This window comes from Homo sapiens, chromosome 15, assembly GCF_000001405.40.
Source record: "Homo sapiens chromosome 15, GRCh38.p14 Primary Assembly".
Classification (NCBI taxonomy): Eukaryota; Metazoa; Chordata; class Mammalia; order Primates; family Hominidae; genus Homo; species Homo sapiens.
This window is the reverse complement of record NC_000015.10, coordinates 41,786,471-41,800,096: the sequence shown is the minus strand read 5'-3', so window position 1 is coordinate 41,800,096 and position 13,626 is coordinate 41,786,471. Positions and strand designations below refer to the sequence as shown.

Genomic DNA, 13,626 nt, shown 5'->3' with positions numbered 1-13,626 from the left:
AACAATGACAGCACCCGACAAAGAACCTTTACCTGGTCCTGCGTCTCTTTACAAAAATGACAACAAAACATTAACCTGTATCTATCTTCCAGAAGATACCAGAAAATCCCTGCCCATCCCAACTGCTCTAGCGTGGCTATAAATTCCCATGCATCAAGATCTCTTCCAAGGCGCTTACTTACCCTGCTGGGTAAGCAACTAAACCTGATCGGGGGTCACAGGCAAGTCCTCTGCCTCCAGACACTGTAATTCCCAGCACCTTCTCCAAGGTCACCTGTTAGAGGAAGAGAGAAGTGACATGTTACAGACAGAGTGTGTTTGGGAAGAAGGTGCTGAAGGTACTTGGGACCATCCTGAGGCACTGGCTACTTTCCAGACACCCATGTTTTCAGGAGAATGGAGCTATGACTTCTGCAGCTTCTTCTGTTCTGCCCACCGGGCTTCTTGATCACACGGGAAAAACCCAGCGTGCATCACCTATTTTCGGCAGGGCTCAGTCTGCTGGTACCACAGGAAAGAACACCAACTCGTTAAAGCATAACTCATGGCCACAGAGGAACAAGCATTCCCCAAAACCAGGAAGGTACCATGTATAAGCTAGAGCCTGGGATCCCCAGACTAGACTCTTGGGTCTGTGAGACTTGGGTGAGGCCACTGATCTTTGTGCTTTGGCAGGCATGAAGGAAAGGCCACTCTGACCTACCAAGAGCCAAAAGAATGTTAGGTATCAATTAGGTGACTCAGAATATCCCTGACCTTTGCATTCTATCATGTTCTTCCCCTCTGTCAGAGGGCTCCACCTCCCAAATGTCTGCCAGTTCATACAGACTACACTCCAAGGAGGCAGAAACAGGGCTTAATGCTGTGTTCTACAAAGCACCGATGCTCAGGGTACTCTAATTATTATTACTAAGCCGCAACTCCCACAGAGATGAAAGATAAAATGCTCAGAGATTCAGAGAGGACACGGCCACGGGAGACACTCATCACTCTCATCATTAGTATTGTTACCCCACACTGTCTGCAGGCCTCAGGACCCACACGAACTAACCTCAAATTAATTCATTGGTCTTTCTGCTAGATGATGCCAAGTGAGATTGAGACTTCCCTCTAACCTCTTGCTGTCACTCCATGTCATCCTCTGCTCTGGGTCTTTCACTTGCTGCTCCAGGTCTTTACCTGCTCCAGGACTGTGCACTCCCTGCACTGGCTCTGCTCAAGAATGTCCCTGATCTCCCCTGGCTCAGAGAGTGGGGCTTCAGAATGCAGGACGGACATGTGAACAGGCTAGACAGCACTCTGCTATGAAAACACCGAACCTGAGGAGAGTCTCAGAGGCCCTAAGAGGGCAATGTAAACCAGAAACACTTAGGGTGGATGCTTGTGGCAGGGCGGTCTATTCTTAGTCCAGGCCAGTTTCTAGAGAGGGGAGGCTCAGAATCAATTAGGACAGTTTTGGAGTTTCTCCTTCTCTCTTATTGCTCCAACCGCAGAATTAAAAGTACTCCTAGAGGGGCCAGGTACAATTGCTCACGCCTGTAATCCCAGCACTTTGGGAGGCCAAGGTGGGCAGATCACTTGAGGTCAGAAGTTTGAGACCAGCCTGGCCAACATAGTGAAACCTCATCTCTACTAAAAATACAAAAATTAGCCAGGCATGGTGGTTGGTGCCTGTAATCCCAGCTAATCAGGAGGCTGAGGCATGAGATTCATTTGAACCTGGGAGGTGGAGGTTGCAGTGAGCCGAGATCACGCCATTGCACTCCAGCCTGGGTGACACAGCGAGACGCCATCTCAAAAAGTACTCCTAGAGAACCTGTTTAGATTTTTTTTTTTTTTTTTTTTTTGAGACAGAGTCTCACTCTGTCACCCAGGCTGGAGTGCAGTGGCACCATCTCGGCTCACTGCAAGCTCCACCTCCCGGGTTCACGCCATTCTCCTGCCTCAGCCTCCTGAGTAGCTGGGACTACAGGCACCCGCCACCACACCCTGCTAGTTTTTTGTATTTTCAGTAGAGACAGGGTTTCACCATGTTAGCCAGGATGGTCTCGATCTCCTGACCTCGTGATCCGCCCGCCTCGGCCTCCCAAAGTACTGGGATTACAGGCATGAGCCACCGCACCCGGCTGAACCTGTTTAAATTCTTATCTCTGAAGATCGTTTTAGCTTGAATTAGGTTGGAAGGAAATGCCCTGTGGTGGCCGAAGACCAAAATAAGTCTCCTGAGATGTTACATTTAATACCTATTCCCCAGAAAGGTCCCCAAGGTTATCTGTGTATCTTGGGGATGCAGATGAGGAATTCTAACATGTGTCTGCTCACTGGTAGATGTGGTTTCAATACAGAGCAGCAACCCACAGCCACCTGGCAAGCACCAAACTTGCCAATTACCCTTGCGCCGATCTGAGGCACTAAACCTAGTGTGGAACAAAGTAACTTTGGCCTTCTCTATACATTCTTGATAGGTTCCCCTAACTTATGCCTCCTCTACTTTTTCTCAGCTTAATGAACCACTGGGATCTAGTCACCTATTACTGACTGGAGAGCAACAAAATCATCCTGGGGAAGTCTGGGGGATACTCAGTTTAAGTCACCAGTCATCCTGGCACTGAACCTTCAACTCTCCCAGAGGAGGGGATATTTAGGGACATTCCTGCCACACCCACCGCCTTCTGCAGACAGGAAAGAGAACGGCCCCAGGCTGGCATTACCCACACAGCTGGGAGAGGCCACAAAATCAAGTGTAGTAAGCTAAAGGGCTGCTCAACTCTTATTTTCTCCTGGTAATCTGATTAAAGGTAAATCCTTTGGATTTAAATTTGCATTGATCCCTTCCGTCCCTCATGCTTCAGTGTTGGTGCCGAAGAATTACACCAAGTCAGTTGGTTCTCAGCTGATCTTCTTTCTAACAGGAATTTGGGTAGGTGTTTTGTGGGTAGATGATCCAATTCCAAAGAGAATTAATTCTCTAAAGCAAGAAGGAGACGTGGGCTACTAACACTCTAAAGACCAGTGTTTATCAAAGTTTTTTGGCCATGACCCACAGTAAGAAACACATTTTATATCATGAGCCAGTATATAGAGACGTGTGTGCATATGCATAAAACTGAAAGTTTCACAAAACAATATACTATTGTTAATCCTAGAGTACAATATACTCTATTTTCTATTATATTCCATTTCATTAAAAAGAATTCTGGTCATGGCCCACTTTACTGATTTCATGACCTACAAATGGGCTGGAAGCTCTAGTTTGGGAAACCCTGCTACGGACCATCTCTTTCTGCCAGGCCTGGGAGACAGGCTCTGATCACCGGCACCTTTGTGTTCCTTAGTCATTTTCCTCCTAGGACTCTCAGCAGTGGAACATACTTCCGCACTAGGAAAACCCCACAGGCAGGAGTTTGCCTGGGCTCAAAACTTGGCTTATTTTCAAAGGATTTATGTTTTTGGCTTTTTCTGGCTTTCTAAGCAGCTATCCAAGGGGGGGGAAAAGCAGTTTCCTTTGGCTCTGTGGAAGGGGAGGAGCAGGGGAAAACATTCAGGGGCATCAGCTGGTTTTTATTTTATGTTCTTAACTCAAACCAGCTTCCTGTTTGCAGGGAGGTTTTGCGTTGAGCTCCACTTTCAAAGGATCTAAGAGTCCAGAGTTCCTGCAAGGCCTCCAACATCTATGCTTATTTTGCAAGGCTTCAACATGATGGACTTCATAAACTGACTCTCCCTCTGATAACCTTCTTCCTCGCCTCCTTTCCAAGAAGGTGGTAGAGCTTCCACCTGCCCTAGAAGATGGAGACAAATTTGAACATCCCCTGCAAACACACCCCAGGTTCAATGCATTCAAGTTCAATCGGTGGTGTGCTGGAGCTGGCTTGCACCAACTCAAGAATGCTGACTGGGCACAACTTTTCCCACATTCGGTGCTAGCAAACGAGTGGCCCTGAAATCACCACCGCAGGACGACTTACACCATGGAAATCAGCAAAGGCTCACAAATCTTCCAAATCACAGTTTGTTCCCCTCTCAGAGAGCCTGTAACTATTTACCACCATGCCACTTAGTTTCAAGTCACTATTATCTCTCACTTGGACTGTAACACCCACATGCTCTCCCTGCTTCAGGCCTTACCCCCTATAGTCTTTTCTCCACATGGTAGGTCACAGGGATTCTTTTAAAATATAAATGAGAGGCCGGGTGTGGTGGCTCACGCCTGTAATCCCAGCACTTTGGGAGGCCGAGACGGGCGGATCACGAGGTCAGGAGATCGAGACCATGCTGGCTAACAGGGTGAAACCCCGTCTCTAATAAAAATACAAAAAAAAATTAGCCGGGCGTGACGCCGTGCACCTGTAGTCCCAGCTGCTGGGGAGGCTGAGGCAGGACAATGGTGTGAACCCGGGAGGCAGAGCTTACAGTGAACCGAGATTGCACCACTGCACTCCAGCCTGGGCGACAGAGCGAGACTCTGTCTCAAAAATAAATAAATAAGTAAATAAATAAAAATAAAATATAATATAAATGAAATCATGTCATCATTTTGCCCAAAACCCTCCAAATGGCTTCCCATCTCCCTCAAGTTCAAATCCAAATACTCTACCCCGGCTTACAAGGCCCCAAATCATCAGGCCTCTGGCTACCTACCTCTCTGACCTCATTTCCTACACCCTCCCCTTCACTCACTCACTCCACCCCAGCCACCTTACCAACTTTAAGCACCTTAAGCCAATTGTAGCCTCAGGTCCTTTACATATGCCATTCCTTGGACTAAAAAGTTCTTCTCTCAGCTATGCACAAAGCTAATTTCCTGAAGTCTTTGCTCAAAGGTCTCTTCCTCAGAGAGGGCCTTCCAGACTAGCTTTACTGCCATAATCTTATACCCAATTTACCCAGCCTTAGTTTTTCTTTTTTCTTTTTCTTTTTTTTTTTTTTTTTTGAGACAGGGTTTCACTTGTCACCCAGGCTGGAGTGCAGTGGTATGATCTCGGCTCACTGCAACCTCTGCCTCCCAGGTTAAAGCAATTATCCTGCCTCAGCCTCCCAGGCAGCTGAGATTACAGGTGCCCACCATCATGCCCGGCTAATTTTTGTATTTTTGGTAGAGACAGGGTTTCACCATATTGACCAGGCTGGTCTTGAACCCCTGACCTCAAGTGATCTGCCCGCCTCGGCCTCCCAAAGTGCTGGGATCACAGGCATGAGCCATCACGCCCGGCCACCCAGCCTTACTTTTCTTCATAGCTCAGAGGCAGGTAACAACCCAACATTGATTACATCTCTGTCCATGTACTTACTACTGCCTGTCTGTCCCATCAGAATGTGAGCTCTTTGAGGACAGGACCTAGGTTGCTGTCCCCCATGGATGTATTCCCAGCACTTTAAACAGTCTCTGGCATACAATGGGCACTTGATACATATTTAAGGAATAAATGAATGCCTTACAGAGGCTTCAGAAACAGTGAAAGCCCAGGAAAACTGGGGTATTTCAGACCAATAAAGTTGTTCTCCACAAAGTATCTAAAACTGGTTGTGACAGAAAGGCTATGACCGACCGAGGACAAGCAGAAAGGGCACTTAATGGTACAGGTAACATTTTGTTTCTTAAGCTGATGGTAGGCACACATTGCCTATTATTCCACGTCTTTATTGTATGTCTTAAATATTGCATAGCAAATATTAAAAAGAGAGAAAAAATATAGTGGAAGATGTGGTGTGGGGCTCAGGACCTTATGAGCAACATCCTTCTATAACTCACATCCCCACTTCTCTCTCTAGCCTCAAGGCATTTGGTTGACACTCACTGATCTGGCAATGTGGAGGGAAAGAGTATGAAGAACTCAAACATCTGGTTTGTTGTTGTTGCTGTTTTGAGACAAGTCTTGCTCTGTCACCCAGGCTGGAGTGCAGTGGGGTGATCTCAGCTCACTGCAATCTCTGCCTCCAGGGTTCAAGCGATTCTGCTGCCTCAGCCTCCCGAGTAGCTAGGATTACAGGCACCCACCATCGTGTCTGGCTAATTTTTGTATTTTTAGTGGGGAGATGAGGTTTCACCATGTTGCCCAGGCTGGTCTTAAACTCCTGACCTCAAGCAATCCACCCACCTTGGCCTCCCAAAGTGCTGATTACAGGAGTGAGCCACCGCGCCCGGCCAAATATCTGTGTTTGTATTTAAGTTTCTCATGTCTGTCCTTATGCAGCTACATATTTGTATAATTCTTTGACATGTCACAGAACCACCATCGTGAGTACCCCTCTTTCTGACTGCTAAGCACGGCAGCAGGCGATGAGATGGGCCCCTTGACCTGGGTCCCCATGCTGACCTTCACTGAATATGTAGCATGAGCAAGAAATAAACTGTTGCTTAAGCCAGGGGGATTTTTGAGGTGGTTTGTTATCAAGCAGGACCTAGCCCAGAGATTCTCAGACCTTTTGGTCTTGGGAACTCTTCACAGTCTTAGAGCTTATCAAGGACAACAGAGAGCTTCTGTTTATGCGGGTTATGTCTATCAATATTTACTATATTTGAAATCACAATCTGAAACATTAAAAATATTTACTAAATCATTTAGAAATAACAATAAACCCATTACATATTAACATTCTTTTTTTATTTTTATTTATTTTTTTGAGACGGAGTCTCACTGTGTTACCCAGACTGGAGTGCAGTGGCACAATCTTGCCTCACTGCAAGCTCACACTATTCTCCTGCCTCAGCCTCCCGAGTAGCTGGTACTACAGGCACATGCCACCACGTCCGGCTAATTTTTTGTATTTTTAGTAGAGACGGGGTTTCACCGTGTTAGCCAGTATGGTCTCGATCTCCTGACCTCATGATCCACCCATCTCGGCCTCCCAAAGTGCTGGGATTACAGGCGTGAGCGACTGCACCCAGCCCACATATTAGCGTTCTTATTAAATATAACTTTATTTTCCAAAACAAAAATAATTAGTGAGAAGAATGGCACTGTTTTACATTTTTGCAAACCTTTTTCATATCTGGCTTAACAGAAGGGAGCTGGGTTCTCATATCTGCATCTGCATTCAATCTGTCCTGACATTATCTAGTGGAAGTATGCGAAGAAAACCTAGCCTCATTTGGATATGTAGTTGGAAACAGGACATCATGGACCCCCTAAAGGGGTTTTGGGGACTCCAGGCTTCTCAGACCACACTCTGAGAACCAATGACCCACCCCTCTAAATACTACAGCATCTTTCCACATGAGGAAGCAAGCCCACAAGTGAGAGTTCTGGCCTCAAGGATCGCTTGAAGAAAGTGAGTTAGGAAAGAGGCCCTGCGAGAAAATTACTGTCCATAAAGTCTGGGATTCAGCCCAAAGTTCTGACAGGAACTTCAGCTCCAAACCTTCAAGGCCCAAATGCCGATGAAATACAGCCCAGGAGACACACCAGTCCAGGCAACTGTGTCTGGGCAGTGACTTGGGACACAACTGCTGCAGGCAGCTGGCACCCTGACCCATCCATCTACAGCTCTAGGAACACTGCTTCATGCACAAGTGGAAACTCAGAAGGAAGAAGAGAGGACCCACTTGGTTCTCTACAGTGAGCTCCTCCACACCCAGAATGCAGCCTTGAAGCATGGAGAATACCCAAACTGTGACCCAGCTTTTGCTTTGGCAGGTGGACAGTGTTGAGATGGAAGAAAGCGTATACCAACCTGACAGAGGTGTCATCTTTCCCCTGAAGCAAGGCTACTGGAGGCAGAATTACTACAAGTATAATGTGAGGGAGGGCTTGAATACCCACCACTCCCAGTAGGAACTAGGCAGAGCACTATCATATCCTCCAGAGAGAAAGAGGGCCAGCAAAATCATCTCTCACTTTAATAAGATAAAGGGGTAACTTCATACTAGCCTATTCCCAGGAGAGAAAGAAAGAATAAAGCCACGTGTTTAAGTGCTCTTCTGGCTCTCATTAAAGTAGATGGAAAAAACAGGTGGCGTAGAGGCAAGAGACAGGACTGCTCATTCATACTAGATAGAACAGTAGTTTCCAGCCTGCAGATTGCAGTCTTTTTTTTTTTTGAGATGGAGTTTTACTCTTGTTACCCAGGCTAGACTGCAATGGCACGATCTCGGCTGACAGCAACCTCCACCTCCCGGGTTCAAGTGATTCTACTGCCTCAGCCTCCCAAGTAGCTGGGATTACAGGCATGCGCCACCACACCTGGCTAATTTTATATTTTTAGTAGAGACGGGGTTTCTCCATGTTGGTCAGGCTGGTCTCAAACTCCCAACCTCAGACAACACCTATTTTTAGAGCATGGAGAAGATGAGGTACAGGCAGTGAGAAAGAGAGGAGGAGAACCAGGAAGCCAGTGAAGTGGAGAGCTCCCAGAAGGGAGGGGTGATTAATAGTGAGTGCTGAAAGAAATGAAGGAGGCAAGGACAGAACTCTCCAGAGTCCAGAGCCATCCTCAACAGAGGTGGCACAGCATAAGATCCCAAGCGGTCCCAGAGCCCTAAACATACAATCCTAGACACTGGGCAGGGCCTTCGAAGCTTTTCTGCTCTCTCAAGTCCCTGGATCTGATCAGTTCACGAGCTAGAGGACAGGCACTAGCCAATGGAAGCGAGTCCAGGTGGAGCCAAGACAGTGGCACTGTTAGGAAGGGCTTCCTGCTTGGACCCACAACAGAAGTTGGCAGGAAATGCTTTCCCTTTTAGTGTGAGGGACCACTACAGGAAGTCTGCAATGGCACGGGAGTGGCTGCTCCCTTGAGATAGAGAACTAAGAGGCCAGAGTCACAAAAGGCCAGGGTCCCCTAGGATTTGGCTGACCTCATACTGGTAAAGAAACCCCAGCAACTGTGAGGAAAAAGATCTGTTTTTGTTGCTATGTTTTGTTGCCACCAGCTACTTTCTTCCCCCTTTTCCCTTCCCCCACTTCTCAATCCCACTCAATTCAAGTTATAAATACCTGAGTTGTAAGTCATTCCAGCCAAACCATGGACTTGCTGTTTCTATAAACAAGCATGTCAGAGACCTGTCCAAGGCAGAGCACTCTTCGCCTTCCCCTCCCTTCCTGCAGGTTAAGAACTATATTTGTCTCTTGCCCACACACTACACTCTAATCTCACAAAGCAGATTCTCTACCAGATTCTGAGAACTGCCACTTAACGCAAAAGCCACAGAAGAAGCCAAGGCCAGGAGGCTTTGTGCAGAGACTTAGACAGTAGGGCAGGGACCCAGTGACCAGACCTGGGAATGGGGAGGAAGGGCAGGTATCATGCCCAGGCTAACTCATTCCTGTTGCTTCAAAGTTCAAAGTGCCATCTGGTCAGAGGTAGGCAGGGGCACAATGGCCAGCTGAAGAAGAGAGCAGACCTTGGGTCTAGTCTCTGCTCCTGGTCTCTACCCAGTTTGGCTGATGTAGAGTTCCATCTATACCACAAAGACTCCCAGAAACAAATAACTTCCAATGTGACAAACAAACAAAAAAAGGGTATCCTGCTTAACGGTTTAGAATTAGTTGGAGCTGAGTCAATTCTCCAGACTAAGATTAAAACAGCCTTAGTTTCTAAGGAAGGTGCATTTGCCACTGCTTGGAAAGGGTAACCTGACAAAGCCGCTAGCCACAGCCCCTGGGGACAAGAAGACTGGAACAAAAGTTCCCAAACCTGGCCAGTCAACAAAGTACCCAAAGAACTTAAGGTTTTTTTCATGTAACAACAGTCCCTACTCTATCCCCACCCTATCCACTTCCCCTGACTGCAAGATTCTGAATGAAAAGATAAGGAGTAGGGTTTGAGAATCTGCATATTAAAGCTCTCCAGGTGGTTCTAATGATTACCAGATTGGGAACTACTAAACTAAGGCATTTGCCCTTCTATTTCCCAATTTTAGCCTCTCTTGGGTTAGTCCCAGTGTTCCAAGTATTTTACAAGAACGCACCGGGGGTACAAAAGGTCTGGGGCAGAGAGAGGATCTACAGCTGCCATTTACTGAATGTATACTTTGTAGCAATAACTGTTCTAACCACTTCACACAGATCATCTCATTTAATACTCTTGACAACTTCATGAAGGACTAGTATTATCTCCATTTTACACATGAAAGAGTAAGTAGTGAGTGGAAGAACCAGGATTTAGACCTGGGGCTGTCTGGTTCCAGAAACCATGGTGCTTTGAGGAGAGAGTTCAAATTCTCTAGCACCAACAGAATGCTACAGTTTCTGAAACAGCACACAGGGAAGTCACTATGCCTTTGTGCAGGCATCAGGGACAGGTCTGAGAGCCAAGATAGAAGGCAGAGGGCCACAAGTCAGACAATAGAGACCTTTCATGCTATATTTAACATTAACAAAAAAATTTAGCAGAACTTATCAGTAGCTAAAGTGGGTCTAAAAAATGGGTTCTGACCTCTCCTCACTGAGATGGTTCCAAGAAAGAGGGAGGGTCTTCCTAATGCCAGAGTATCCCATGTGGTCAGAGCTTGCCCATGTCCAGCCTATGCTATAGCCAAATATAGACAGCAGACACCCATTTCCAAGCCAACTGGCACTGCAGGGTCAGAAGCAGGAGAAGCTGATTTCGTATGCAGATGGAGGAAGAGGTAAGGAAGGCGTCAGACTAGAGGGAGAGGGAATGAAGGACCCAGTTATATTAATAGTACAGTCATCAGCACGTGCCCAAGTCCAGAGAGCAGATTTAACAGCTTTTACAGTGCCTGGTACAGCCCTTCTGCCCTCTCTTTCTCTTCCACAGTTATCAGAAAGGCAAGAAAAGGAGTTATCTCAATGTAAGCATGCAGAATTCGGGTGGGGGTGGAGTTGTAGTTTTTTTTTTTCCTCTAAAGTCAGTCCTCTCTACAGTACTACAGCAAAACCAGAACCACAAACAAAGCTTTATGAGCTAAAAATCTGGTCATCAAAAGGATCTAATTCCTCTACACACCTGATTTTCTTAAACTCTTGCTTTTCTATTTTGTAACCAGTGAGAATATTAACTGTTCCTTATCTGGACTAAGTGTGCAAAGTGAATGTGTCTCCTGGAACAAAAAGGGGAGTGTGGAGGGCTCTCAGTGCCCCTACAATCACACAACTTATGCCATGAAACTCTCCAGGGAAGAAGGAAGGTTTCCTCAACCTATTCTCTACAAAATGCTCACTTCATGCCAACACCCCAGTTTAGGCCTTCAACACATTCCTGGATATAGCAATGGATTTCTAATCAATTTCCTTACTATAGACTCTTTCCTCCCCTCCTCCAACCCATCAGCGTGTAATTTTTCCACAGCATAGCTTTGATCCATGTTTCTCCCCTGCCCAAAAACTTTTTCAGTCACTCCTTCCTGTCAACTAAATAAAATATAAATGTTTTAGCCTAGCATTAATGAACTCTGCCCTTCTCATAATTCTATTTCCTACTACTCACCTATTTGAATCATGTGCATCTGTCAATCTGGACTATTCATTTTTCTGGAAAGAAGCCTTGGGGCTTTATAGCTCATATGCTTCTTCTAACCTTCCCTTCCACTACCCTATACTGAAATCCTACCTTTCCTTCGAGGACCAGCTCAAATGTCACATCCCCTCTGATTCTTTCTGTGATCGCCTGGCCAGAAATGATTCCTTCCTCCTCCGTACTCTTACAGCAGCACCTAATTTGCATCATTCACATGGCATGCACTGCTTAGAACCTTGTAAAGAACTTCTATTCTTTATGGATTTGTCTTATCTCTCCTACCAGTCTACACACTCCTGGAGGGCAGAAGTTGTATCTCATATAACTGTATGCTTATAGCACAGGGCACAGTGTTTAATATATATTTGTTGAATCAATTTTTTAAATACTCAAAAACATTTTTAAAAAACTTAAAATCATGGCCGGGTGCGGTGGCTGACCCCTGTAATCCCAGCACTCTGGGAGGCCGAGGCGGGTGCATCACGAGGTCAAAAGTTCAAGACAAGCCTGGCCAACATGGTGAAACCCCATCTCTAATAAGAATACAAAAATTAGCCGGGCATGGTGGTACGTGCCTGTAATCGCAGCTACTTGGGAGGCTGAGGCAAAAGAATTGCTTGAACCTGGGAGGCGGAGGTTGCAGTGAGCTGAGATAGTGCCACTGCACTCCAGCCTGGGCAACAGAGCAAGACTCTGTCTTGGGAAATAATTAATTAATTAATTAAAATAAAAAACTTAAAATTTTTATGAATACTCTTTGGTTAATCTTATTAAGTTTTTTTTACCTCCTAGGGAATTCTTCAACTATTTATCAATGCCACCCCTAGAAGTTGTGGCAGGAAGTAAGATTCTGATGCCTTTCCAGAAAGACAGAGGAAGGCCTGAATAACATAATCCATGTGCCATACATGATTACAAACAGAACACTCTTATCCCTGACTTTAGTAAAGACATGCATGGCATGGCTCTTCACAAATCTGACCTAAGTTATAATTAAAGAATGTGTTCGCGGCCGGGCGTGGTGGTTCATGCCTGTAATCCCAGCACTTTGGGAGGCTGAGGTGGGTGGATCACAAGGTCAGGAGTTCAAGACCATTCTGGCCAACATGGTGAAACCCCATCTCTACTAAAAATACAAAAATTAGCTGGGCATGGTGGCGGGTGCCTGTAGTCCCAGTTACTCGGGAGGCGGAGGCAGGAGAATTGCTTGAACTTGGGAGGCAGAGGCTGCAATGAGCCGCGATCACACCACTGCACTCTAGCCTGGGCGACAGAGCGAGACTCTGTCCCTGCCCCCCACCCAAAAATAAATAAAATAAAATAAAAGCGACTATGTTGATCAAAAAGAGCTTTAAATGCCCTTGATAATCAGAACAGTGTTATCTCTAGGTGCTGGAATTATGGATAATTTTTCTTCTTCTTTATGCTTTTCTGTATTAGTTGTAACAAATCTTTTCAGAAAGCACATGTACTTCAAAAAGTATCAAAAAATATTTATCAAAGCTAACCAAGGAGATATTTTTGAAGATATTAGAAACTGGCCAGGCACAGTGGCTCACACCTGTAATCCCAACAGGAAAAAAATCTACTTTGAGAGGCCTAGGCAGATGGATCACCTGAGGTCAGGATTACGCCTGTAATCCCAGCTACTCGGGAGGCTGAGGCAGGATAATCGCTTGAACCTGGGAGGCAGAGGTTGTACTGAGCGGAGATACTGCCACTGCACTCCAGCCTGGGCGACAGAGCAAGACTCAATGTCAAAGAAAAAAGGAAATGAATTGTCTCAAATTCAACAAGCTAATCATTAATCTTCAAGAAAATATTTTTATGTCCTATTACTTCTTTAAAAAACAAAAAAAGCTTATTATACCTATATATATATATATATATATATATATTTTTTTTTTTTTTTAGACGGAGTCTGGCTCTGTCGCCCATGCTGGAGTGCAGTGGCGCAATCTTGGCTCACTGCAAGCTCTGCCTTCCGGGTTCATGTCATTCTCTTGCCTCAGCCTCCTGAGTAGCTGGGACTACGGGCACCCGCCACCACGCCCAGCTAATTTTTTTGTATTTTTAGTAGAGACGGGGTTTCACCGTGTTAGCCACAATGGTCTCTATCTCCTGACCTTGTGATCCGCCCGCCTTGGCCTCCCAAAGTGCTGGGATTACAGGTGTGAGCCACCACGCCCGGCTATACCAGATATA

At 45.9% G+C, this 13,626-nt stretch overlaps 1 protein-coding gene across 5 annotated transcripts in view; it reads right to left on the bottom strand.

Moving 5' to 3' along the window:
* MAPKBP1 (mitogen-activated protein kinase binding protein 1) overlaps nucleotides 1–13,626 on the bottom strand; it is a 53,372-nt gene that overhangs the window by 27,759 nt on the left and 11,987 nt on the right. For 4 of the 5 annotated variants that reach the window (NR_049761.2, NM_001128608.2, NM_014994.3 and 1 more), the window contains exon 3: nucleotides 183–274. The exons of the other annotated variant lie outside the window; for it this stretch is intronic. Coding sequence is in view for 3 of the 4 variants with exons in the window: in NM_001128608.2 (NP_001122080.1) it covers nucleotides 183–274 (92 nt within the window). In the remaining variant the exon portion in view is untranslated. The remainder of the gene's footprint in view (nucleotides 1–182; nucleotides 275–13,626) is intronic. 5 annotated transcript variants of the gene reach the window in all.